Source organism: Homo sapiens, chromosome 22 (genome assembly GCF_000001405.40).
Source record: "Homo sapiens chromosome 22, GRCh38.p14 Primary Assembly".
Classification (NCBI taxonomy): domain Eukaryota; kingdom Metazoa; phylum Chordata; class Mammalia; order Primates; family Hominidae; genus Homo; species Homo sapiens.
In genome coordinates this window covers 27,047,871-27,074,552 of record NC_000022.11, presented here as the reverse complement: position 1 = coordinate 27,074,552, position 26,682 = coordinate 27,047,871, and the positions used below count along the sequence as shown (strand labels likewise).

The window sequence follows — 26,682 nt, the reverse complement described above, 5'->3', positions numbered from 1 at the left end:
GCTCCTTCCTCCCAGTCCCCTAAAACTCTGTATTAATAGGTTCATATGTTCCAAAAATCTCAGAGACCAGAGTTTGTCCAAGCGGGTTCCAATCCTAGCACCAATAGTCTATTAAATACTTGGTTTCTCTGCATTTGCTTCTTTGTGTGTAAAAAAAAAAAAAAGAAAAGAAAGAAAGAGAAATATAATTGGTCAACAAATCGTGACTAGTCTAGTGTGGTTGTAATAGTAGTTTTAGAATTCATATTCATGTTAGCAGGGCCTTTTATGGGTAACTTCTTAAACCCAAGGAATGACCTAATGGTGGAATTTCTGGCATGTTGTCAAAAAGAGGAGATGGTACATTTTTGAGTGAAAGACTGGGAGTGGAGGCTGACCCAGGGATAGAAGGTTTCAATAAGGATAACCTGTCCCTCTGACCCGAGATAAGGGTCTGCCCTTCTCAGTAGGGAGAACCAAAGAGAAACCCTATCTCACCCCTAAAACTGCCCGTCCTCCTCCAAAAGCCCTCCCTCAGTGCTACAAGCTATTTCACTTCTCCAACGCATGACTAATAAGCGCTTCATCGAAGGCAGTATTCAATCGTGCTGCAGAATTAAACGAGTGGACTAGCACACCGTATATCACCCCAGTTGCTCGTACAAGCAGGAGATCAATAGTCCAGCAATAGACATTTCATAATTAAAAGAAGAAGAAGAAAGGCAAGGACCCTGACAGATGGTCTTGCATTTTCGTGTGCTTTTCAGTTCCCAAAGCTTTGGGGGATTTGCCAGAACAATAAGTCCTGGTTGGAGCTATCCCAAAAGGCTTGCTGTGAAGGGACTTCAGTAGAGTCACATGGTCTGTCCCCCTGCCTGGAGGCTGGCTGGGGACAAATGCTGCCATTTTTAGACTCGCTGAAGTTCCTTTTAAGACCTCTCTGATGCCTTTCTGTGTAATCCAAAGCTGGCTGGAGTGGACGTCCGTTCCTATTCCCTTCCCAGCAGCCAAGACTCCATCTTTAAGTTAAGCACCCAGAGTTCCCTCTGGGAAAATCTCCACCTCATGGTCGTTTGGTTCAGCGTGGAATGAATGTGATCTCCACAATCCGGAGATGGCCACATGGATCCGATCTGGCCAATAAGAGCATCCCATTCGTTCTTATAATTGGCTTATGGATGCTCACGTGACCCAAGTCAGGCCAATTGGGGCTGATTCTGGGACTTTGGCTGGGACTGCTCCTCTCTTAGCAGGGGTTACCAGGCTTGGAGGATGGAACCTGAAGTTAGTACTGGAGGGCGTCTTGTCATCATGAGGATAAGAATGAAGCTGGCACACCGGGAAACAAAACCGAGATAGAGGTGGAAAGATGGACTGACCAAGTCCTAAGGAAATTGTTAGATTCATTCAGCCACTCGCGAATCCAAGTTAAACTTTATTTATGAGAACCCATAAATTCTCCTTTTGACTAAACTGTCGAATGGGGTTACCATTAGGGATTTTTGGTCTACCTATCTAACAAATGAGTTAATATAGAGAAAAATGCACAAACATTGAAGTTAGATCCAAAGTCTAACTCCTGACTGAACTATCTACTAGCTGCGTGATCTTGGGAAAATTGCCTAAGCTTTTTGAAACTCAGTTTCCTCACCTGTAAAATAGATATGGTGCTGCCCTCAAAGAGTTGCTGTGAGGATGAAATAAGACTGTCTAGTTCTTAAGAAGCATGAAATACAGTCAGTCCTTCCTCTTACCTTGCAGTCTCACTCTGCTATGGGAAAGAATAAAACTATCACTCAAAGATTCTACCACCACCATCACCATCATTTGCAGCAACAAACTGGATGTGCTAGAATGCACCATCGTGTAGAAAAGATGTGTGGCAGCACCACCTGGACCAAAGCTGAAAAACAAAAGTAAATCTTAATCGAGGTAACAGGTTTTGTTCAAGTACAGAATTAGCAGAAAGGAATCATGATGATTTGAAAATAAAATATCATTTGTTGCACATCCAAATAGCACCCCTCCATATTTTTCGTATTATCTTATTTTAATGAGAAAACGGAGGCTCAGAAAGGTGCAGTAACTGGACTAAAGTCACACAGCCGACAAATCTGAGTCCAGAGCCTGTGCCTTTAACCACTGAGTTGTGCCAATTCCCACTAATAATTCCCAGGTCTTGGATTCTGACCGTGTATCAGGCACTCAGGAAGGCCCTGTCTGCACATGTCTTCGCATCAAATCCTCTTATCACCCATTGAGAACAGTTGGTTCCCATTGTACAAATGAGAAGCAGCCATGCTAGGCACCAAGTATGCTTAAAGAGGGAAACTAGGATCTTACTTCTCATTCTATTACAAACTGCACATTTATGTTACGTACATATAATATGTAACCACAATTTTTAAAATGATGAAAAATAAGCACTTTCGGGGTTTTTTTGTTTGTTTAGTTGGTTGGTTGATTGTTTTGTTTTTGAGTCGGAGTCTCACTCTGTCACCTAGGTTGGAGTGCAGCGGTGCAATCTTGGCTCACTGCACCCTCCGCCTTCTGGGTTCAAGCTATTCTCCTGCCTCAGCCTCCTGAGTAGCTGGGATTACAGGCGCCTGCCACCACGCCCAGCTAATTTTCATATTTTTAGTAGAGACGGCATTTCACCATGTTGTCCAGGCTGGTCTCAAACTCCTGACCTCAAGTGATCCACCCCCGTCGGCCTCAAAGTTCAGAGATCATAGGAGTGAGCCACCGTGCCCGGCCATAAGTAAATATTTTCAAAGAGCATGTTTATTATAAAAAGTTATCCAAACATATTAGTAACCAAACAAGAAGCCAAACAACAACAAATTAAAACAAAACAAAAAAATCTCCAGAGGAAAACCTCTCCATGGTCCATCCCTTCAACCCTTTCAGTCTAAACCCTGCTCCTCTCCCTCATGCTCCCAGCTCTGGGAGCCTTAATCTTGCCCCAGCTCCCTGATCTCCTCTGCTGGCAATGCTTTCCTTTTCCACCTTCATCAGTGAGATCCTACTTGGTCTTCAAGCCCATCCAGCACAGCAAAGTGTCTCTCATCGGGCCATGATGAGTTTCCCAAGGACAGGTACGTGTTTGTCCAGCACCCAGCCCCAGCCTGGCCTAGAGGAGGAGAGCAGTGGATAGGGTGAATGTCCAAGGGTGTGACCAGTGGGGAACAGCTGACTCAGGGTCCGTGACCAGGGGCAGTCCCGTCCCTGACCTTGAGTCTTTACTTCTGTCATCACCCCTGGCCCTTGTGAATTCATGTAGAGTGTGAGTTGAGAGGATAGAAGTGACATTTCTCACATACCTCCTTGGTTCCAGGTTCTGTGATGGGTATGTACATAGATATGTTTTATTTGAATCTTCAGTTTTGTATTTTTATTCTTCGATTTTACGTGTAAGAAAACTGAGGTCACGGGAGAGGGAAACTGACTCAGCCAAGGCTACCGGCTGCTTATTGAGGGGCGTAAGGTACAAACCTAGGTTGAAGGCACAGAGTTGTGAAGCAGCTGCCTTGCCCTGTGCCACATCACACCCTGCAGCATTTAGACCTAGTGCTGTGGCGGATTTCTTACATCTGATCTATAACATGTCGTTCAGGCTACACCAATAAACAAGAGCTGGCCATTGGCAAATTGACCCATGTACGACTCTTTGTTCACCGTGGAAAGGGATGCCGATTTGTGAGCTTAGGAAGATGGTGGGCTGTCCCGAGAGCTGTCACCCTGTGACAATATTGACAGAGCCTGTGCCCCCACCTCGTAAAACCCCAGTGTACACACGTGGGGGAAGCAAGCCCATCCTCTCTCACTGAGAGAATAAGTGTAAGGAATTAAGGAGACTCTGATTAAACAAACAGATGTTTTTAGTCGGCAATAGAAGTGTCAACATGATCCTAATTAATGAATGTGTTAATGGCTGTTCTCTGTTTGAAGACAATAGTCACCACCTTCTAGATGTCTCTGCAATGACTTTAGGGTACATACCTAATGTGTGCATACATGGAGCCTGCATGAAGGGTGAGGGGTGGCAGGGTGCAAGCCCATATGCCCTTAGGCATCCAAGGGTCATGCCCTGGACTCATAAAAGGGACACAGGATGGCATGAGTCACACACAGGGAGTGTGCCCTGAGCCTTCAGGGAATAGGTGGAATACTCAGGGCATACAGAGTGCTGGAACACACATGGTTACAATTTCTAACACACACATACAACACACACACCACCCCACAGCACTCTATAATACAATGCAACTGACAATACTTACATCACCCACATCACCCCCACGAAAACACACAATGCACACAGAGCACCCATATCACCCATGCGACATCACATCCAAACAAAACACATGTGCAAGGCTCACACAATACCCCCACGCCACCCACACAAAATTCATGCAATGACATGCACACAACAAACACAATACACACAACACAATACAACACGATGCACACACAACACTCATATACAACATACACTCAATACACAACACAGATACTCAACATATATGTATCATATACATAGTACATCATGACACACATACACACTACATGTAAATCCATTGTAGAGTTCATGGTTCCCAGGGCACTAGCCTGACACACTTAGCAAACACTCACACACATATTTAGTAGCAGCAGTAATAATATTCGCTATGTGTTTCCACCATGTAACAAGCTCTGTACTGAACTATAAAAATACGGGAATGAACATGGTGGAGTCTCTTCCTTCAAGAGTATCTCAGGCCTACAGAGATCCCAAGTACCTCCCAGTGAGGTACATTAAGAGAGTTCCTCAACATCATTAATATGCTTACATGTACACATATTTTCATGTATTTAAAGAAGACAAGGCATGGAAAAAACTTTGCTATGCAGAGAAAGTCCCCAGCAATACTAAAGACTTGTGCTTTTACCACTCAATGATCTTTTTCATGAAAATGTCAGGTAGAAAAAAATCTCATATTTCATATGTCAGATAGAAAAAAGTCTCATATTTCATTGTATTTATTCTGTAATTGTGTTTTCATTTATCTCAAAGACTCTGAGAAGTGTATAATTAAACAGGTCTCCCTTTTTTCCTTGGCTACTAGGAAGCTCAGAGCTATATTTTTGGTCCACACATAGTAGGGGTGTTCACACATGTATTCACACATGTATGTGATTTGAATCAAATACATTTCTGAGTGTTATTTCTGGTCCTATTTTATGTTCCTACAAGTATTTTTCTAATTTTCTTTCACGCCATTTAAAAATATATGTTTGTAAATGACTTCAACTTTTTTCTGGAAAATTCAAGGGACAGAAAGAAAGACAGATTTTAGGTAGATAGATATATTAGGGCAGTTTTGCTGCTATAACAATCTCCAGTTCTCAGTGTTTCAACACAACAAAGGTTTATTTCTTGCTCATGGCACAGTCCAATGTGGGTTGGTGGGAGGTAAGGCATTGCTCCATACAGCCATTCCGGGGCTCAGAGTTCCTTCAGTCTCTGGTTTCAGTGACCCTTAGGGCCTCAAGTTCCTCTGAAGGGATCCTCAAAGAGAGGGTATGTAGCGTTGCTCAAGAGGTACGAAAGTGGCTGACATCACTTTCACCTTCATTTCATTGGCCAGAACTCAGTCATATGGCCACATTGCAATGCAAAGGAGGCTGAAAAATGTAGTCTTCCTGTGTGCCCAAGAGGAAAATGAAAGAGGCCAGGTGAACCCACGGCATTATCTCAACTACAACAGCTGAACCCAAGTGTGGTAGGTTTACAATGAAATAATCTGTAATTCAACCACTATTTATAGAGAGCCTACTAAATTCAAGGCTTTGTGCTAGGCACTTTGGAATAGGGCTATCAAGATAAAATGGACACTGTTCCTGGACTCCCTCACTTTGTGCCTGGAAAATCTACTGATTAAACCAAAATGGGAACAGAAGACATCCTTGAGATATGGAGTTGTGCATAATTTTCATTTTCCTGTGTTTTCTTATGGTTCTAAGTATTCCTCAATGAATATGTACTACATTTTTAATTGAAATGTGATACATATCCATGAGTGGACACAGAGCATAAATGTACAGCTCATAGACAAATCTCATTCAAGCCTAGAAATGGAATGTTGCCAGTATCCAAGACCCTTCCTAGGGCCTCTCTCAATCTCTGCTTCCCCAGTCCTTGCTAGAGGTAAAAACTACCCTGACTTCCAAGACTAGAGCTTGGCTTCATCAGTTTTGTTTTCTGTCATGTCTTGTCCTATGTGGGTTGGCAGGAGGTGGGGCCTTGTTTCATACAGTCATTCAGAGACCCAGGGTTTCTTCCACCTAGTGGCATTTAAAGGGCAAGGAAAAGAAGAAAAAAAAAGGTGGGATCATGTCCTCAAGGTGTAGCTAAATCTTTATCCTGGCACACAGTAGCACAACAGGACTAAAAGACACTGGAACTCAGGGCCATGTCCAGAGGAGGTGGAGTTAATTTCTTATGGGCAGATAATGGGGGTTCACCAAGTAGGAACCAGTCTCTGAGCTGGACATGGAGGACAAGACGACTCTGGGTCTGCAGAGACAGTGCAAGGCCGATGGGCAGCGGGACCCAACTGGACCAATCAACAGAGGTTAGAAATGGTGGGGAGTTTGGGGATACCAGTGAGGGGCTCCTTCTGGCCAAAGGCTGGGATGCAAAATAGCCTTGGTGAGCATTATTGATGGAAAGAAATTCAGGGCTCCACCTGAAAGAACCTTGAGCATCAGACACACACACACAAAGTCATCTATTTATTTTACAATAGTTTCATTATCCCACATTTATTGGGCACTGAGAATGGTGCAGGGTGCTTCCTTTGCAATGATCTTATCAGTATCCATAGCAACATTGTGGGTCTAGGTACAACTGTGATCCACATTTCACAAGAGTGGATACAGGCTCAGAGAGCTTAAATGACATACCCAAGTTCACCTAGACAGAAATGACACCATCAGAGGTTGAAATGGTGCACTTTCTTAACTGCTACATCCTGGGGCCTCTGAAACAAGGGTTGTCCACTGTGTCATGGCCAGCAGCTGGGATAGATGGGATTATCAAGGGGGCAGCCTATGACATGAGCTACCGGCACAAGTCTCAAAGTCAACTACAGCTCCACACCTCAACCCCGAGCCCTGCATAATGCACTTAAACTTGAAGCCTCATTGTTCTCACCTGTAAAATGGAGCTAATAATGCTTCTGTTCCAGAGTTGTTGAAAGAGCAACAGAAGATGCCACCCCGTTGTTTAACCTCACATTGAGCATAGAGTAGGGGCTGCATAAACAGCAGCCATGATGACGGTTGTTGTTGCTGCTGTTGTTGTTGTTTTTAAAGAGATGAAAGAGTCAGGGAACAGGCTGCTATACCAGTCAGGAGACAAGTAATTTGGGAACACTGTAGCAGAGGCCAGGGAAAGGGACAGCTGTGAGGGAGATTAAGGAAATTCACGCGGAATATATGTACGTCTGCTACGTATGGCACATTTGGCAAAGACAGAATCGGGATGGATACGCGCCTCCCCAGAAAGATGTGAACGGCATTTGGCATCCCTTGTTGTTCAAGCCAGGAGCAGTCCTGTGTCTGCGTGTGTCTGTGTGTTAAATGCAAATGTGGGTGCGTGTCGATGTAAATTGCACAAAGCTTGGGAGACTCAGTGGCAGATAGAGAACAAAGAGAGGCAGGCTTCCCTGATGAAGAAGCCAGGTCGTCGGGGTCAAGAGAGGCTGGAGGGTGGATCTGAGTTCTCTCTTCTACTTTGGGCCAACAAGTGGCACTTGACCTCAATGGCCTTGTCTATAAAATGAGGCTGAGGTCCCCTTATCTCTCTTGACTCTTGGGCTAGACCAGGTCAATTTTTGAGGTCCCTGTGACTCCAAAATCTATTGTCTTAGGCCAATGAGAGGAGAGAGAATGTTTAGATAGGAGAGGAAGAACAGCCTTGAAGTTCTCGGAAGGAACCTTTGCTGCTTGAAGTCCAAGGGAGGTGAGAGAGAAGGGTAAGCACTGGCAGGAGATATTCAATTTCTCAAAGAGCCCGAGAAAGAGAAAGAATGAACTCCAAAAAATGCAGAACTGGGACACCTCCCTGAGTGGACCCTTCCTCCTAAACCATGAACAGTAGCCACTGTCACCATGCCCCACTCCCTGAGGTCTCCTGCCCAAGTCCCCTTTCTCTCCAGGTTCCTCACGTACTTGAATAACTACTTGTAGTCTTGACAATCAGCCAAGGACAACTGGAGAGGAGATACCTCCCCAAGATCCTCTCCTCAAGAGAACAAGCCCTGTTTTAAGCCCCTTAAGGGTTTCAAAATAAAAGACAGCATCAAAACTCAAGAAACTGAACGTGGAGCAAAATGATAAGCCAAAAAATCCTGGACTTCAACATCAGCCTGGGTTGGGTGGCTAGTCATGGTTTCAGCTTGTGCAAGTCACATGTACTTGACAGGAAACTTTATCTCCTGGAGCCTCAGTTTCTCCACCTGTGAAATAGAACAGACAGCAAAATTTACCTCTCAGGGTGGATGGGAGGTTGCATAGTAATCGCTGGGTTAAGTGCCTGCCTCTGCGTCTGGCAGGGAGTAAGAGTCCTTTAACTGTCATTTGCTGCTCACCAGTTTTTGGAAGTGGGTAACACGCTCTCATTCAACCTACCTTGGCCACGCCCTTGTGTTTACAGAGAGTCTTTTCTTTAGCCAAACACACCCAAACGTCTTTTTCCCCAAAACATTTGTCTCCCTCCACCTTTCCATTTAACGTATTGATTTAGGAGAAGATCAAAATAAAACGTGGGAAGCTGGAAGCTGCGACACTATTTTTTTTTTCCTGGTACACACTGATTATGTGTAAACAGCAAATTGCGAATTATTTCCTCTTTATCTGTCAACTCCGCAAACCACCTCGGGGTCCCTCAGAATGAATAATTGGCTCTGGGACATCGCCTGACAATTGGCTTTGCGTAGATGTTTATCGCCAGGGGAGTCTTCTTCCAGCTCTAATGTTTTCAAAGACAGAGGGTGTCGGGCAGGAGAGATGGGGAAGGGAAGGTCATATCTACACAACCTTGCTCCCTCCAGGGGGTCTCTTTTAAGGAGGAAGGAGGCAGGGAAGAGTGTAATCACGTGATCCAAAAACAGACTAATTGAAAAGGCCCAGCTGGATTGATTCTCTCGGGTGCTGTTTCCTGTCTCGAAATCTCTCTTGATTCCCCTTACTCAGGGCAGAGAATACCTCCTTCCAGGAGCCCCCAAACTTTGCATCTCCAGATTTCATCCTTAGAACCTTGTGAAACTCAATAGTCTTTTGGGAGACAGGAGTGTGGTTGGATATAGCTACAAATTCCCAGCTCATCTAGCTTTGGAGGTTTGCAACCTTGAGTTCAAATTGCAGGTCTGTCCCTGAAAGAGCTGCAGGATGCTGGTCAAGAAATCTAATTCCTCTGTGCCTTTTTTTTCTCGTCTTTAAAATGGGTATAGTAACAAAGCTGCCCCAGAGGCTGTGGGTGCATGAGATCGTGTAGGCACACAGGACAGCAGCTTGCACAGAATACCTTTGTGAGAATTAGGAAAAGCCAGCTCCTGCTGGCAGAGCAATTAGAGAACGGCTTCCTCATACTCCAGTTGTGCACTGCCTTATGCCACGGTCTGCTTAGCAGCCCAAAGACTGGGTTCAGCTCTCAGTTGCCTCTTTGGTTGGGAGCTCTTCGGCAGTCCACATCCTGCACAACTATACCTGGCAGCTCTGCATGTAAAGCACTCAGCCTGTGCCAGTCTCAAACACTCAGATCTGGCAGCAGCTGTGATCACTGCCACCATATATTATCATCTGAATGATCTGGGCTCTTAAAGTCCATGAGGATCTTTAGCATAAGGTGAACCCATGTCTGAATCTCATTTTCACCATGTCCTGGCCCTGTGTCTTTGAATTGGCTCGTCCATCCCAACCTCAACTTCCTCCTCTGTAAACATAGGAAACAGTAATGCCCACCTACTGTTGTGGTTTTGATTAGGTAATAGGCATCCAATGCCCCTGCAGTTCAGTGCCAGTTGCATGCTAGGTGTTCAGTATTTGTTTCTTTCACAGGAAAGGAAAAGAGACCTCCCTGCCATTGCCTTTTCCCTTTAGTAGAAGAATCCATGGTCAATGTGTTAGGGAAGTGAAAAAAACATATATCAAGCCATTTCAGGGAAGATGCTTGGCATTCTGAGATAGAACCTGTTTGCAGACAACAGCATCAAGTTTGGAATTGGAAAGCTGGGGCCTAGTCCCTGAGTCCACTCCACCCACTAACTCACTTTGTGACTTTGGGTAAGTCACAGACTCTCTGAGACTGGACTGCCCTTTCTGTGAAACCAAGGGTACAGGAGATGAGAGTTGTTTCATATTTTGTGCAGCAGCAAAGGCTTTAATTCCAAACAAGCTTCCTGCATATACAAAGCAGGTAAGAACAGAGATGCGCTGATTGAAGCAAGGTTCAGGGAGGGGTTGCCAGCCTCCTCCTTCTTTCTTCTTCTCACCCTGCAGCACTCTCTGATGCTATTTTGAGGGACCCTGGGGCTCTGGGAACACAATGTGACAGCCATTGGACTCAGATCCTTTCCTCCTTAAATATTCCAAGACTCTGTGTTTTTACATCTACTGCCTTGCCACTCAATTTCTCCTGACCTGGTGTGTGTGTGTGTGTATGTGTGCGTGTTTGTGTGTGTGTGTGTGTACCACAAACAAATGCTCAGAAAGGAAGCAAAAAGAAGTTCCACCAGCCATTAAGGAGAAATTACAAACGCATTTTTCTCTGCCTCTGGCACATTAATAAAATAGATTACAAAACTGGAAGTGAGTTGAAGCAGGGCAGCATCACAAAAATTGGGGAGGGGTGAGGAGCTGCTTCCTGTATAGTCATCTGATTTCATGGCCGTTCCCATGCTGAGAAAATCTGTCTGCAGCGGCTGCTGGGAGGATGTGGAGCTCATGCATTAAACATCAGGGGGACCCTCACAACATACACCGTGGGGCGGGAGAAGGATGGGGAGGAGGAAGTTCTGTGCTTCAGTACAGGCTGAGGGGACACTTCTGACATGCCCCAGTGCACCAATACCATGGGCTGAGATCTGGAGATTGTTTAACAAGGGCCTGGGAAAATCACTGAAAACTTCAGGGTGGTGGATGAAGGAGAGTGTAACATGCAGAAAGTACAAAGATATTCTAGAGTTTTGAACATGGAAGGGCCACCTAGGGCAGGGTGGGGGGTGGTCCACACAGGGTCACTTTGTCTAGGTGGTCGTAGAGAATAGTTACCATGTGCTATAAGCTCTCTGCGCTGGATGCTGGGATTGGTCATTGGAGTGAATTGAATTATTGACCCCAATTCTTCACTCTCCCTTTATCCAGCCTTTTGCCATGTGACTTTGCAGCCTCTCCTCCTACAGGGTGGATCCTGCACATTGGGCATGATCACATGGTTTGTTTTGGCCAATGGAATACAAGTGGAAGGGCCAGTGTGCTAGTTCTGGGATGGGACCTTAAGAAACATTGCAGGTTTCCACATTTTCTCTTGCATCTCTGTCCCTGCCATGAAAGAAGCATGTTCTGGCTAACCTGCTCATACACAGAGGCTGACAGACATGCAGAGTCAAGCCAGGCACCACCTGCAGCTCAGGGCTGCCCCAGCTACTTGCAGAATAAAGCTAGATGAGAAATAATACTTATGGTTGTAGGCAATGGAGATTTAGTGGCTGTTTGTTATACAGCAACAGCTGACTGATATAGTTATATGTGAAGTCATTCATTCTATTCACATATTTGTTCATTCAGCAAATATTTCTTGAGCACTTCCATGCCAGACATTTTGCTAGGCAGTAGGGATATAATGGTTAGTAAGGTATCTAGGAAAATGAGCAGGGATTTCAGATTTATTAATTCAAGGATTGAACATGGACTATGTGCCAGGCATGGTGATAAGTACTGCAATGACAATGGCAAACAAAATACATAAGGCCCCTCCGCTCATGGGACTTACAGACAGCAGATCAAACAAGCAACAAGCCGGGAAATTTCCAAAAAGCTTGATGAATAAACTTGTCTCTTCCTTTGAACGAGTCACTGTCCATTTGACAAGACAGAAAAGTCAGTAAACTATTACCATGTAAACTATTAAGCACTAGAATGAGATGCCTATAGGCAGCTCAGATAAAATACCTTATCCAACCTGGGGTTGGAGACAGGAAGAAGATAAGAGAGGGAAACCTTTTCAGGGCACAAAATATCTGAGCTGAGCACTGAAGGTCAAATAGTTTGCAGAGGGAGAGAAGAAAAGCAGGGATGGACTATGAGGCAGAAGGTACAATAACCAGAGTAGGGAGGCAGGAAACAGTATGGTGTCACACTGACAGTAAAATGTACTTCTACATATTATTGGAAAATAGAGTGGAAGAGGGAGAGGCAGATGAAGGGCTTAAAGTAACCAGGTCATGAAGGAGTTCAACTGCCAAGCTGAGATGGTCGGACTTGACTGAAAGCAGATAAATAGTGAGCTATGGAAAGTTTCAGCAGCAGAGCACAGAATCAGGTTGGCTTTTGGGAATTTTAGAATGGTGGATTGGCTGGGTTGAGACCAGAGGCAAGGAGCCCAGGAGGAGACTGGGTAACAGCCCAGGAGAGGAGGGATAGTACCCACACTGGGGCAATGTGGGGAGGGGGATAAATTATCCCAATCTTGGAATTATGGAATCAGAGAATTTTACAGCTGAAAGTAACCTGGGACCTTTAAGTTGCCTCCACCCCTTTTCACAAAAGCTGGACCTTAGAGAATGGGGGTGACGCCATCCTGTCCAGTCTTACAGCAGGTGAGTTTAGGACTAGGGACTGAAATCAAGATCTTTATATTCTTAATCCTTAATCTCACTTCATAACCTCACTCTGTTTCCTAATCCCCACAACTTGACTAATAATAATTATTATTATTATTACTATAATATCTAATAACTGAGTCTTTTCCATTTGCTGGGCTCTGTGCTGAGCACATTAAGTGTAAAATCTCATTAAATCCTCCCAACATTCTGAAGGATGAGAACTCCCCATTTTACAAATAAGAAACCTGAGGCTCAAGAGGTGAAGCAATTTGAATTTGAACCTCAGGATCCTCGTGGGGATCATAGCAGCAGCTCTCGTGTAGAACCGCAGTAAAGGCTAAATGAATAAGGCATACATGTGCCTAGCACTGTGCCTAGCATGTTGAAAGGTCTTAGCAAATGACAGTGACAATGGTGATGATGATGACAATGACCAAGGACAAAAATGGTGGAGAGAGGTAGATCCGTACCTGGGCCTTGACTCCACTGTGTGACTTTTGGCAAAGCACCTAATTCTCTGGGGTTCAATTTCCCCCGTCTGTCAAATGAAAACAGTACTCTAGGGCCATGGTTCTCAACGTGTGTTGCCTGGGCTGGCAGCATTAGCCGTCACCAGGGAGCTTGTTGGAGATGCAAATTCTCGAGCCCTCCCTGAATGGACTAATTCTGGGACTCTGGGAGTGGGATCCAGTAATCTGTGTTTCACAAGCCCTCCTGGTAAGTCTGATGCATGTTCAAGTTTGAGAACCTCTGGTCTAGATTGCTAATTTTGCATTTTTTGAAATGACATCAATACTTCCTTCTATCAAATTCATGAAAAGGCAGGCACAGGAAGCAGATCAGAGCTGCAGCATTAAGGGTGAGGCAGCCACCAGGACCCACGGTTCTGTTCACTCTCCCCATCCTTGTCCCCCTGCTTGGAGGCTCCGCAGGGCCAGGTGTGAAGGCCAAGGTGATGCTGTAGCCTCTCTGCTCTGCATTAATGCCTCCTGCTAGCCAGAGCCCATGCTCCACAACAGCCTCCCTCCCTCCCACTCAGCCTCCCTTCCTGTTTACACATTCTGTAAAGTATGAATTTGTTGTGGCCTCATGAAACCTGGTCTATTTCTTTCCTTATTTTTTTTTTAAAGAGGCTTGAGACTGTAATTCGGTTAACTATTTCCCAGAGCCCCGGTTTTGTGGCTACAGCACAGCACGAGGCAGAGGAACGGAGACAGGTCCTCGGAAGCCTCTTTCCAGAAAATCTAATTTCATCATTGAGAAATCTTCTGTCTTAAACAGCCTCCACCACCGCCATAAATTTACATATTCTATATGCCGCCGGAACGGAGTGGGCCCTATTTGCATAATGCTGCTGGAGGGGCTCACGCTCCTCTTGAACCTGAATGTAGCAGGAGCGAGGAAGCAATTATTAAGCTGTAGACGTTGGCAGGGAGAGAGCCCTCAGATGGATTTCGACTCCAAACCTCATTCGCCAGGGCTGCTCATTACCGAAGGCCTGGATCCCAGGCTGAAGGTGGATCCCAGGGCTGGGAAAAATCAGTGTGAATTGCTTTCTCCAGGTTATGTCTGCAGCCAGGCCGAGGCCAGATATGGGTGAGTACCTTTGGTTTTCCAACATTGATCATTGGAACAATCGTCTCTCTGCTCCCAAGGTGGCAATTTGTTTCTTGGACAGTGTTGTCACTTTGCCTGTGCCACACATTCCTGCCCCTTTCCCTCACACACCTCCAAGTACCTACAAGACAGGTCAGCCAGGCTTTGTTCACTTCTTGCCAGCAATCTAGTGTAAGCCTCTCAGAAATGCTTAATTAACAGAAAGTGGTGTTTAACAATGTCCCAGCTGGAAAATGGCAAGTGGAAACAGGAATTCTCTCATGCCTCGGTGGTCCTGCTTAAAATCTACCCTTCACCATCCATACTCATGCTGGCTAGGAAGTTGGGCGTCTTTCCCTCTGTGGGATCTCTGATGGGGCAATCAAGTATTTTGGGGCTCAGGTTCTCAGCCCTGGGGTCATTTGGTGTTCCAGGATCCATAGGTCACTCTCTACAGTTTCTGGCCCTTCCAGGGCTGTGGGCTTAGCCTCCAAGTTACTTTATGTCCTGCCACTCGCAACCTCAGTAGCCCATGGGTGCAAATGGCCACCTTTGGTTCCATAGTGACCATCTTGGATTTTACTCTGTAAGGCGCCATCTTGGTGTTTACTCTGTAGGGTGCCATCTTGGTTTTTATTCCATCTTGGATGTAAATGGCCTCCTATATGACTGATGGTGTTCAAAGAACAGGTCCTGAGCCTAGGGCAGTTTTTTGGTGGAACTTTAAGCCCAGCCCTTCCTGAGAGTTTTTAAACCAGGTGAATTCACGAACCACTCAGCTAGAAATCTAGCTGTCCACTTCCACAGGTAAACACCATGGGCATATTTGCTAAGTGATACCAATAAATGTGCTAGGCTTATACACTTATTGACTGAATGAAATATTGTCAGGCAAACCATGATCAGCTGATGGAGGAAGTATCACCAGCACTTTGCCTCTTATACTTAATAATGGATCATGTAATTTTAATTTTTCCAAAAAAACAGCTTTTATTTCTGAGGAAGTGGAAATACATTTGAAAACACCAGTTTCACTTCTGGCTGACTTGATGCTCAAAATTGGTTGACTTACCAGCCCAGAGATGACCCATGGTACTAAAAGCCCACTCCTTTCCAGCATTTAAACAGTAAGCCATTTGTTGGAAATTTAAAACAGCAGGTCCTTTGTTGAAAAAAAAAATTTTGCATATCTCCACTGACTAAGAGGTGCCATCTCCTCAAAAGACCTCAATATTTTGTCCTCGGCGAGGACTGTCTCATTACAAGAATTTGGAGGGAAGCCGCTTTTTCCATAAGACTGCATCCAACATTGACTTATTTCTCCAAGAAAAGGAGATTGTTCCTGATTAGCCAAACTCAGGACTCTAAAAACACAAAATGGTGACTTTTCCAAAGGAAACTATTTGGCTGCCTAACTGGAACCAGTGCTTAAGAGCCACAGATAGTCTCTAAAGTTAGATTTCAGGATGCAGATGTGGGTATGTACTCAAGCAAGACCTTGACATCTCTAAGCCTCAGTTTCCTGATCTTTAAAGTGAGCATAATGACAGTACCTCCTTCAATATTGTCACTGGAGGGATTAGATGAAATGATGCCCAGCAGTTGAATCACAGAAAGGTTCAATAACGTGCCTGAAGCCAGAGGAAGTTATGATAACAGGCATAATTTGAACTCAGGTGTGTGCTTGTTCAGCCATCATGTTGCATGGTGCTAGCTACCATGGTGCAGGTATGATGATGACTGGTGCTTACAAAAATCCAGAGTCATATCAGTTGGCTTTTTGGGCTGAATGGCTCAAAGGTCTTCAAAGAGAAGATTCTCAAAGAAACATATGGTTCACTAAACTGGTAAGCTTGTTTAGGAACAGAAGTGAGTGGCTATTTCCAAGCAGAACTGGTAAAGACCCAGTCTTTCATTTTATCTGGAAGGCCTCCTTTGCTTGCCATGCAAGGTGGGTTGTGGTGGTAAAGGCAATGGAAGGCGAAGTGACAGGATATGTTAATACACCAGAGAGAAGAGTTTACTTGTAAATAACTCTCATCACAGTTGACTCCTTTGAGTTATTGAGTTGCCTATGCCTTGATTCCAGATTGCATTAAGGATCAGCCATGTTTCAAGAGCTGCTGGCTACCCTCCCAGCATGCCTCTGATGAAGTTGCAACCTCTGAGGGCAATTCCTGGTGACAGTAACAAGCAGTGCAAGGTACCAACCAGCAGGACAGCACAAAGTAAAGGAAACAGTTGCATCATATGAAAACACAAAAGCTCACCTAATTAAGAACCAGCAGTGTTGTAATTGTTTGTTTGACAGTAACTCCTAAACCTGAACAGGTGCCAACACCATAACCCAGAGATCCCACATTAGGTACACACCTGACAAAAATGACTGCATATGTGCACTGAAAGACATGTGTGAGAATGTTCTGGGTGCATTCCTCTAATCCCTGAAACTGAGAACTACCCAAATGTCCATCAGCAGTTAAGTGGATACATTGTGCCATATTCCCAGAAAGGTGTACCATATCACAGGCTTGGCAAATCCAGCCGGTGGCCAAATCCAGCCACCTCCTGTTTTGTAAATAAAGCTTTATCAGACACAGCCGGGTTCATTCATTTATATATTGCTGATGGCAGCTTTTGTACTACAACAGCAGAATTGGCCCTTTCCAGAACAAACTTACCGACTCCTGCTGTGTAAGAATGAAAATCAGCTGTCTATAACTTCCCTGTGAAACGTGGGTGATTTTCACAAACATAATATTGAGTGAAAGGAGAAAACACACACAAGAACCTGTTGTGCAATTTCATTTACATAAAGTGCAAAGGCAGGCAGAACTAGTCTATGTTGCTAGAGGACAGAATAATGGCTATCCATGAAGGATAGTAACTGAACTGGGCGCTGGGAACATTCTGATTCTTAATCTGGGTGTCGATTACGTGGGAGTTCATTTTGTGAAAATTCATCAAGACGCACACATTGATGTCTACACTTTCCCACATGCACGTTGTTCGTCGATAAAGATTTAAAAATAAATAAAAAAAAGAAACGGTGGGTGTAGATAGTGATGCCAAGTATTTTCTCAATGTATTTCCTGGACAGAAAGCTCAAATAACAGATTGTCAAGTTAGAAAACAGATAACTTTAACTTTTACACATGAACACACATTTATTCATTCACTCTACAAATGTTTATCGATTACTCACCACGCGCCAGGTGCTAGGGAATCGGCAGTGAATGAAATGGAACACAGCCCCTGCCTGCTTGGTACTTACATTCACACTCACATACGCCCAGGAAGCCTCACACAGGCATGCACCCACACTTATCAGCATGGACCTGGAAACACACGGGCCCAGGACCTGCATTTGCAGGTGGAGCCCTTCTCAAGCAAGCACTTTTCAGAATGTTGCTTTTCCTCCTCTCTACTGTAATCACTGCCTCCCTCATCCCACAGACATAGGAACTGAGGAAGGAGCTCAGCTTATTCTACATTACCCAGAGGAACCTGTATCTTCAGAGTGCTATGGGCCTGTACAGGCCAGGAATCCAGTTTAGACCCCAAAGGGTGATGGGTCAAACCAGCTTTCCCAGGTCACATTGGCATCTGAGATATATGGAGGTCAAACAGAAGGACACCCAGGGCTGAGTGAGGAGGTGACCTTGAACTCAAGGATGCCCTTGGATGCTCCTTGGATTTTCTGCCGGGCTTCCTGCACTCAGTGTGGTTACCTGCCACCCATGCATGTGGTCACTAGAGCCTTGCGACCCAGTGGCCAGGGTTTTCCCACATGTGAATGAATGGCATATTTGTACCTCATCTTCTTGAAAAAAAAAAAATGCCAGAATGATAGAGCTGGGGATTCATGAGCCCAAGTCCTGCATGTTGTGAATAAGGAAATGGGGGTCTCACTGTGGGGAGGACCTTGCCCAAGTTTTCATGCTCAGCCCAGGCCATGCCTGCAGGACTCCAACCAGGAGCCTGTCCCTTACTCTAGGTGAATGCTTCACTGCTGAGGTGCTCACACTGAAAGGGGACAGCTGATCCTTCTCTAATGGCCTCATCACTTAGATGAAATCCACCTCCTTACCCTGGAAGATGTGACTGCGTGACCTGGTCCCTGCTCACCTCTCTGACCTCATCTCCTGCCACTCTACTCTTCTCCAGCCTCCTTTATGTTCCTCCAACATCCCATGCTCATTCCCACCTCAGGGCCTTTGCATACACTGTTCCCTCTCCCTGGAGCACCCTTCACTCTGGATCATGAGGTTAGCTCCTTTGATTCATTGGTGTCTTAGCACAGATGTCATCATCTCTCAGAGAGGCCTTCCCCAGTCACCTCATCTCAGCAAGACACCATCTCCTCATTCTCTATCCCCCTACCCTTATGTGACTTTCTTCACAGCATTCATCACCATCTGAAATTATCCCCTTTATTTATTTGTCTATTTTGTGAGCACTATCAGGGCAAGGATTGCCTTCCTGTTCATTGCTCTATCCCAGCGCCTCCAAGAAGCTTGACATGTAGTAAGCATTTAGGATACGTTAAATAAACAAATGGATGAAGGAATGAAAAAAGCATCTATACTAGACTAGCTCACAACGCAGCGACATCTCTGAGGGATGCAAGCTCTCCTGGCCACCCTGATTAAGACATCTCCAGTATCAAGAACAGCTTCTGGATTGTTTGTATGTGAAGCATATTGACCCAGGGTGAAGGGAAACTTGACAGCAATTTGTGTTTACATCTTTGATCAATAGACATCTCAATGCTCACCCCAACACAATCTATTGCTGATGGTTATTAATTATGGTGCCTTCCTTTTCTCGTATCTCCTTGACACCCATGAGGTTTGTCCTTGTTCGTCTTCTACTATGGGGAGTTCCCAGGCCTTTAGTGGATGCTGAGAAGGAGTCTCTGAGTGTTGTTTATTTTCCCCACCCAACATTTGAACCACAGCTCTAGACTCTGCCCCTGTCTCTCCCATGTGCACCTGTGAAGAGGCTGAGTTGGGGACATTGTGGGTAGAGGGCACCTTAGTTCCAACTTCAACTCTGTCCTCCACTCACTGTGCGTCCATGGCCCCATCACTTTCCCCTCCCTAGGACTTGATTCTACTCACCTTCAAAACGAGAAGGCTCTTAGAGACCCCTTCAAGTTCTGAAACTTTGGAATTTTTCATGAACAGTCTTTATACTTTTAATACCGAGTCCTGCCATCTTCTTCGTTGGACACGTGGTCCGTTCCTATAATTTCTGAATTGCATCCATTCACTCAACAATAACTCTTACATTCAGATACCCACCTAACGGATACTTTTTGAGAATCTTCAAATGTCCCTATGAAGCAACTGGGATATACTTAGCCACAGTTACTGTTAAATAAAAGGCACTCAATCTCCCTTCTCTAGTTATTTAATGTAAGCCTCCCAAGAACTTTGGGAATAAAACTGTAACCTACCTATTACACAGATGAGGAAACTAAAGCCCAGCATGGTCATGGACTTGCCCAAGGCCACACAGCTATTGAGTGGCTAAACCAGGATTTGAACCCAGAGACATCTGGCCTAAACTTTGTAATCTGACCCTTCCAACTTGGGATCCCAGCCCTAAAATACCATCCACTCTGCCCCTCTTTAGGAGAGATCTCTGGAGGTTCATTTAGCTGTATGCCAGTGTTTCTCATCAAAGAGAGAACCATTTTAAAGAAGGACAGTGATTGTTATAACATTGAGCCAAAGCATCCATGGCTTATAGCCTGGGAGAGTTCACAAACTGGGTCTAATTAGTTGCCACCAATTAACATCAAATCACCCTTCAACTGGGTACCACAATCATCTCAAAATCAAAAAGACAGACGACCCAGATCATACTTAAAGAAAGAGGCTACGCATCAAATGCCATTTACTATGCTAAGCAGATCCCTTTTTCCTACAATGTGCTGATTTTGAGACACGGAAATACATTCAAATTAACCCCTGAGCTATTCCTCTTCTAAATTCTCCATTTAGGGTTGACTCCATGGCGCGTGATATTACTAATTCAGAGCTCCGAGAAGGCATGCTGATTGCCTTAGACGTGGGTAAGGACTCTGCTAACACATAGTTTCATGCCGGGTGGAAATCAGAGCTCAGGGCGCATGCTTCAGCTTCCAGAGCAACATGGAAGATCTCCCTTATCCCCACCCCAGGACCTGGCTCCAACCAAATCCATTCTTGAGCTCATTAAACAAATATTTATGGCCAGGCATGGTGGCTTGCACCTGTAACCCCAGCACTTTGGGAGGCTGAGGTGAGAGAACAACTTGAGGCAAGGAGTTTGAGACCAGCCTAGGCAACATAGTGAGATCCCATCTGTACAAAAATTTTAAAAATTAACTGGGCATGATGGTGCATGCCTGTAGTCCCAGCTACTCAGGAAACTGAGGCAGGAGAATTGCTTGAGTCCAGGAGTTCGAGGCTGCAGTGAGACAGACAGCCTGTCTCTTACTGTCTCTTTATATATATATATATATATATATATATATATATATATATATATAGAGAGAGAGAGAGAGAGAGAGAGAGAGAGAGAGAGAGAGAGAAAGAGAGAGAGCACCTACTATGCGCTGGACACTGTCCTTGGTGCTGGAGATGTGAGCTAGGGCAGAGAATAAAAAATAAAAGGTTCTGCCTTTAAGATACTTACATTGTAGTGGGAGAGACAGATAATAGTAATAATAAATTATATACCACATTTGATAGAAAAAAGTTCTATGAAGGCAAATGAATCAGGGTCAAGCAGCAGACGGTAGTGTATGGCAGAGATTGTGACTTAAAGTAGGGTTATCAGGGAGGATCTTGCTGAGAAGAAGATGAATGAATCAAAATTTTATTCCAAGGCTACTGAAAGAATCCAAGGAAAGGTGATTGGGCCTCCATCCACAACAGAAACAGTGGCAATGCAAGGGCAGCTTAAAGTCGCAGAATATTTTGAAAGTAGAGCCCACAGTGGTTGTGATGGAGTGGAAGGTGAGCAGTGGAATAAAGGGAAGAGATAAAGGTGACGCCAAGGTTCCCCGAGCACCTGGGAGGGTGGATTTGTCATTGCCTGCAATGGATACACCTGCTAATAGAATGGGGAGGATTGGTTCCATTTGGGGCACACTCTGTTTGAGATGCCTGCACGACAGTCACATGGAGTTGTCTAGCAGGCCACGTACGTTCCCTGTAGAGCTTGCTCCAAGCAAAGTCCATTATGTCCTTTCGTGGCCCCTGCTGTATGTTTTGTTCATACCAAGCCTCTACCTGAAGGGCCCTCCCTCATGTCAACAGGGGCAATCCCTGTGTTTGCCATCCCAACTAGTCCATGAACCTGGAATCCTGCTGCCCTTCAGAAATCTCCTAGTCCCTTTCTCTGTACCTTTTGCAGGCATTTCTTCTTTCCTACCCAGCTCCTAACAGGCAGATGAAAGAGGAAATATTTAAGGGTTGGGAAGGGCATGAGGGGAGGCCCTGCCCTCATATCTCACAAGTGACCAACTCTCTCCTTGGGAGTATTCTGACCTGCCTTCTCCCTGTCTCCTGAGAACCCCAGTCTCTTCTTAAGAGCCACAGGCCTTTTCACAATATGCCTTTATCAATATGATTCCAGTAAACGTTTCAGTTCCGCATATAAATTCCAGCACCTGGCTGCCCAGCTCAATGATCAGACCATAAAGATGTAATAATGCAATTAAAAGGTATGGCCCGTCACCCTCGTAAAGCTGGAGATCAATGCGGGGGTGAGTGGGGGAGCTGAAGGCAGCAGGGGGAGAAATCTGGCTTCCTTGCAGTGTCTGAAGGATGAAGAAACAGAATCAGGGGAAAAAGTACCTGGCCAGGCCTTGGGGAGAGGTTTTGGCTCTGGCTTGGGGTCCTAGCCTAGGCCTCTAACCTCTCCATAGAGGGTTGGATGTTAAAAGTCATGGGTTCTGTCTCCAGGCCAGACTCAGGAGGTTTGAGGCTTTAAACATGTCCCTTCTACTCTATAAGCTTCAGTCTCCTTACCAGTAAAATTGGTGTATGATAATACTATCTTCTTCACAGAGCTGTTGAGATAGAACAGATCCAAATAATTTTAGTGCCAGAGAGGTTCTGAGTTCAGGGGCTACAGACTCAAATACCTACAGGGGCTGGACAGAGGTGCACATGAGGGAGCGAGGTGGGCCAGGTGAAGAGAAATAGGGAATGATGGAGACTGGGGCACAATGGGCAATACAAGTCTCATTGAAAGAAGGCAGCACTACCCTTTTCTTCCTGCCAAGGCAGGAAGTCTGATGTCATGCAGGGATGTCAGCCTGGTGTCACCAGATCTAATTTTTAAAGAGGAGTACAATTTAGATATGAGACTTCAGAATTTTCACAACTCTACATTAATAAAATGTCATCACATCTGCTGGCCATATACAGCCAGGGGCCTTCCATTTTCCACCATTCCTCTGGGCCAACTTACTTGGGTTGATGGGCCTCTACTAATGCATGACGTCACATTCAGCCTGTTTGTTTCCAAGCATGTGTGCGTGTAGAATTATCACAGTACATAAACTGTGGCACAGAACTGCCCAAGCTCACCTCCCAGCTCTGCCTTTGGCTGACTGTGTGATCTCTGGCAAGTTACTTAGCCTCTCTGTGCCACAGCTTCCTCAGGTGAAAAGTGAAGTTAGGAGCGATTCCTACTCAGAGCATTGATTTGATGACCTCTCCCTGCAAAGCACTGAGGACAATGCCTTGGTGATCAAGAGCTTCTTCCTAAAGGTTGCTTTTCACGGATGCACAAAGGTGCTCATGATAGGCATGGAGGTCATGGCTTGCTGCTCTCAGTTCCAGAGCTTGCAATGACAACCTGTCATCCCTCTCCAAGTGCATTTCTCTTCCCAAGAAGGGAACCACCCTCAAACCAGAAACTTGGACAACCTCCTTCTTCTGCCTCACCTGCTTCCTGTAAGAAGCCAGCCCCATGGAATCAACCCCCGGTAACATTCCCTGGGTCTGGTTGGTTCTCTAGGCCTCACTGCCACCATCCGCCTCTGTCTCAGTCTCTCTCCTAACTGGTTTTTCTCTCTCTCCTGGCCCCTGCCTGCCATCTCCACTGCGGCTGCCTGAAGGAGCTCTCAAAGTCACACATCCTCCCACCTTTTCACTGATGCCTTTCAGCTCCCAGAACACCACATGCTCTTTACCAGCTTCATGGTTGTGCTTTGACTGCTCCACCTGGAATGCTGCTTCCCATTTTTCCACCTCAGACTTGCTTGGCTAATTTCTACTTTCCTTCAAGGCGCAGCTCAAGTCATTCCTCCTCCAGGCAGTCCTCCCTAATCCCTTAACAGTGTTCAACGCCTTCTCTGTGCTTTTATGCCTCCGGGTTCTATGAAAATCCTGGAATTGATCACACTGAACTTTCACTGTCTGTTTCCATAACTATGTCCCTCTGCAGCCTGCAACCTGGGAGGACTGGGGCCCTATCTTATTTATCCCTATATACCTCCTGTGATCGGCAGAGGAGAATATGCTTGTTGAATGAGTGAATGAAATGATTCAATGTTTTCTTAGTGTGAAACATTGTCATCATCATCATTAAGGGGGATATTGAAAGACAAGTTATGAAGCTCATGTCACAAACAGGTCCTGGAGATTCTGGGTCCTCTGAGATCAAATCCTGAAGTGCAACTGGCATTTCCAGGAGTGGAATCCAGGACTCACACCCAGGACAAGCAAAGACACAGTGGCGGTGAGATCACTACATTATGAGACAGCCAGCTCCACCTGGAAGCATCTCTACTAGTTAGAAAGGTCTACATTGCCTCCTAGGTACTTCCAAATCTTCTCCTTGTTCTGGTCACTAAAGATGAGAGAGATTAGCTGTGTTTTCTCCCACCCATTCATACTGGCAAACAGAAAGAGCTTAAAGGGGCAGAAGGGAGTGGGTGATACCTCTAACCGAAGTTTAACTTGGGGCCTATGAATATATTTCAGGGGGTCTTTGAGCATCCTGGATGATTCATTGCCTTGCTCAGCAATTTATTCAACAATCACAGGACACTGGACACAGAGATGAACAAAACAAATGGACTTCCTGCCCTCACAAGGATTACGGCTCTAGAGCAGGAAGACAAACCTTCATCAAACAACATGTAAATACAGTCATGCGTCATTTAACAACAGGGATACGTTTTGAGAAATGTGTCATTAGGCGATTTCATCATCGTGCGAACATCATGGGGTACTTACACAAACCTAGATGGTATTAATATTTTTGCATGTTTTTATTTACATATTAGGTTGGTGCAAAATAATTGTGGTTTTGCCTTAAAAGTAATGGCAAAAACCATGATTACTTTTACACCAACTTAATATTTTTTTCATATGGAAAACCAAATGTTTCAGCACCATTACTGAATATCAGTCATTTTTCCTACTTGATCTGCAATGTCAATATCAAATGCTATTCATCAGGTTTCTATATATATTCCATTATAATCTTATGGGACCACAATCATATATGTGGTCCATTGTTGACCGCTATTTTGTTATGCAGTGGGTAACTGTATATATCATATCCCCACTAAGGAGAGAGGTTAAGATGGAGTCACAGTAGTTGGCCTGGTCTGATAGATGGGGAACGGCATCTCTGAGGACTAGGGCTGAGAAGGGATTAGGACTAAAGGAAGAGGGGAAGGAAGGGACTCCCTGGCAGACAGAGCAGTGAGTACAAAGGCCATGTGGTGAAAGGAAGTATTGGAAGTGACTGGGAGTAAAATAATGGATATGAGAAGCTCTCAAGAGGTACACGAAGGATTGCATAAAACTCTAAAATGTTTAGAACCCTGTTATCTGAGCCAATGATTCTGGAACTGTGGCCTAAAGAACACTTATTCAGAAATGCAGGCCCCAGACCTCTTGAATCAGACTCCAGTGGCAGGACTCTGGGATGTATATTTTACTGAAAGATTAGATACACCTTAAAGCTTTAAAACTTGTCTGTTTGCATGACTATGTCCCTCTGTAGCCTGCAACCTGGGAGGACTGGGACCCTATCTTATATATCCGTATGTATCTCCTGTGCTTGACACAGAAGAGAATATACTTGTTGAATGAGTGAATGAAATGATTCAATGTTTGCTCAATGTGAAATGTTGTCATCATCATCATTAAGGAGAATATTGCAAGACAAGTTATAAAGCTCATGTCACAAACAGGTCCTGGAGACTCTGGGTCCTCTGAGATCAAATCTTGAAGTGCAATTGGCATTTCCAGGAGTGGAATCCAGGACTCACACCCAGGACAAGCAAAGACACAGTGGCAGTGAGATCATTACATATACTCTCCTGAAGCACTCCCCTACCATCCCCCTACAACACAGTATTTTGGCAACTATTGCTAGAAAAATGGGAACTACGATGTATTAAGTACCTACCATGTGTTACCTCCTATATGAGCTTTATCTCATTTAATCTTGGCAGTGGTCTTATTTTACACACAATGAAACTGAGGCTCAGAGAGGTGAAGTCACTAAGTCAGGTAATGGCAGATCTGGCATGCACACCTAAGTCTATGTATCACCTGAGCCCAAGCTCATTGCTTCTTCCTGACCATGCTTCTTCCCTTTCAGCCCTTCCACTCCCAAGGCTCCCCACTCCATCCTCATGATAAGCCAAAGTTGAGTACTCTGGACACCAGAATAATAAGTGGGAAAGAGAGGGACGGGTCTGATGAGTTACCATGAAATGAGCACCGGACTGTGGGTCAAGAGGCCAACCCCAGCTTTGCTGCTGACATTCTGTGTTGTCTTGAACAAGTCACACCCTCTCTTAAGGTCTCCATTTCTTCATCCATAAGTGAAATAAATCTATAAAAATATCCACCTGTCTTGTATCATGGACTTTAATGAGATAATGTCTAGAAAAAAGAGTTCTATGGCACAAATAAAATAAGTGAATAGTAACTAACATTTGTTAAGCCTCTACTATGTGCTATTTAATGAACAGTAACCTTGCGAGCAGATGAAGAAACAGAAGCTCAGAGAATATGGGAACAGAGATACTGTGCTGTTTCCAAGCTGGTATCTCAAAGGGCCTCTTGCAATTCTTCTCTCTCTTGGACTCTAGAGAGAGAGTCCATGCACCATGGACCATGCACCATGAGAACAAGCCCAGGCTGGCCTGATGGAGGAAAAAACAAGTGATTTACCCAAGGTCATGTAGCCAGGAGATTGCCTGAAG

At 44.9% G+C, this 26,682-nt stretch overlaps 1 long non-coding RNA gene across 1 annotated transcript; it reads left to right on the top strand.

The window, feature by feature from the left end:
- The first annotated feature begins 13,314 nt into the window (after positions 1-13,314).
- LOC284898 (uncharacterized) lies at positions 13,315-26,409 on the top strand. The gene is made up of 4 exons (NR_164796.1): positions 13,315-13,565; positions 13,979-14,444; positions 24,437-24,594; positions 26,073-26,409. It is a non-coding gene; the product is annotated as an uncharacterized LOC284898 (long non-coding RNA).
- Positions 26,410-26,682: the final 273 nt, after the last annotated feature.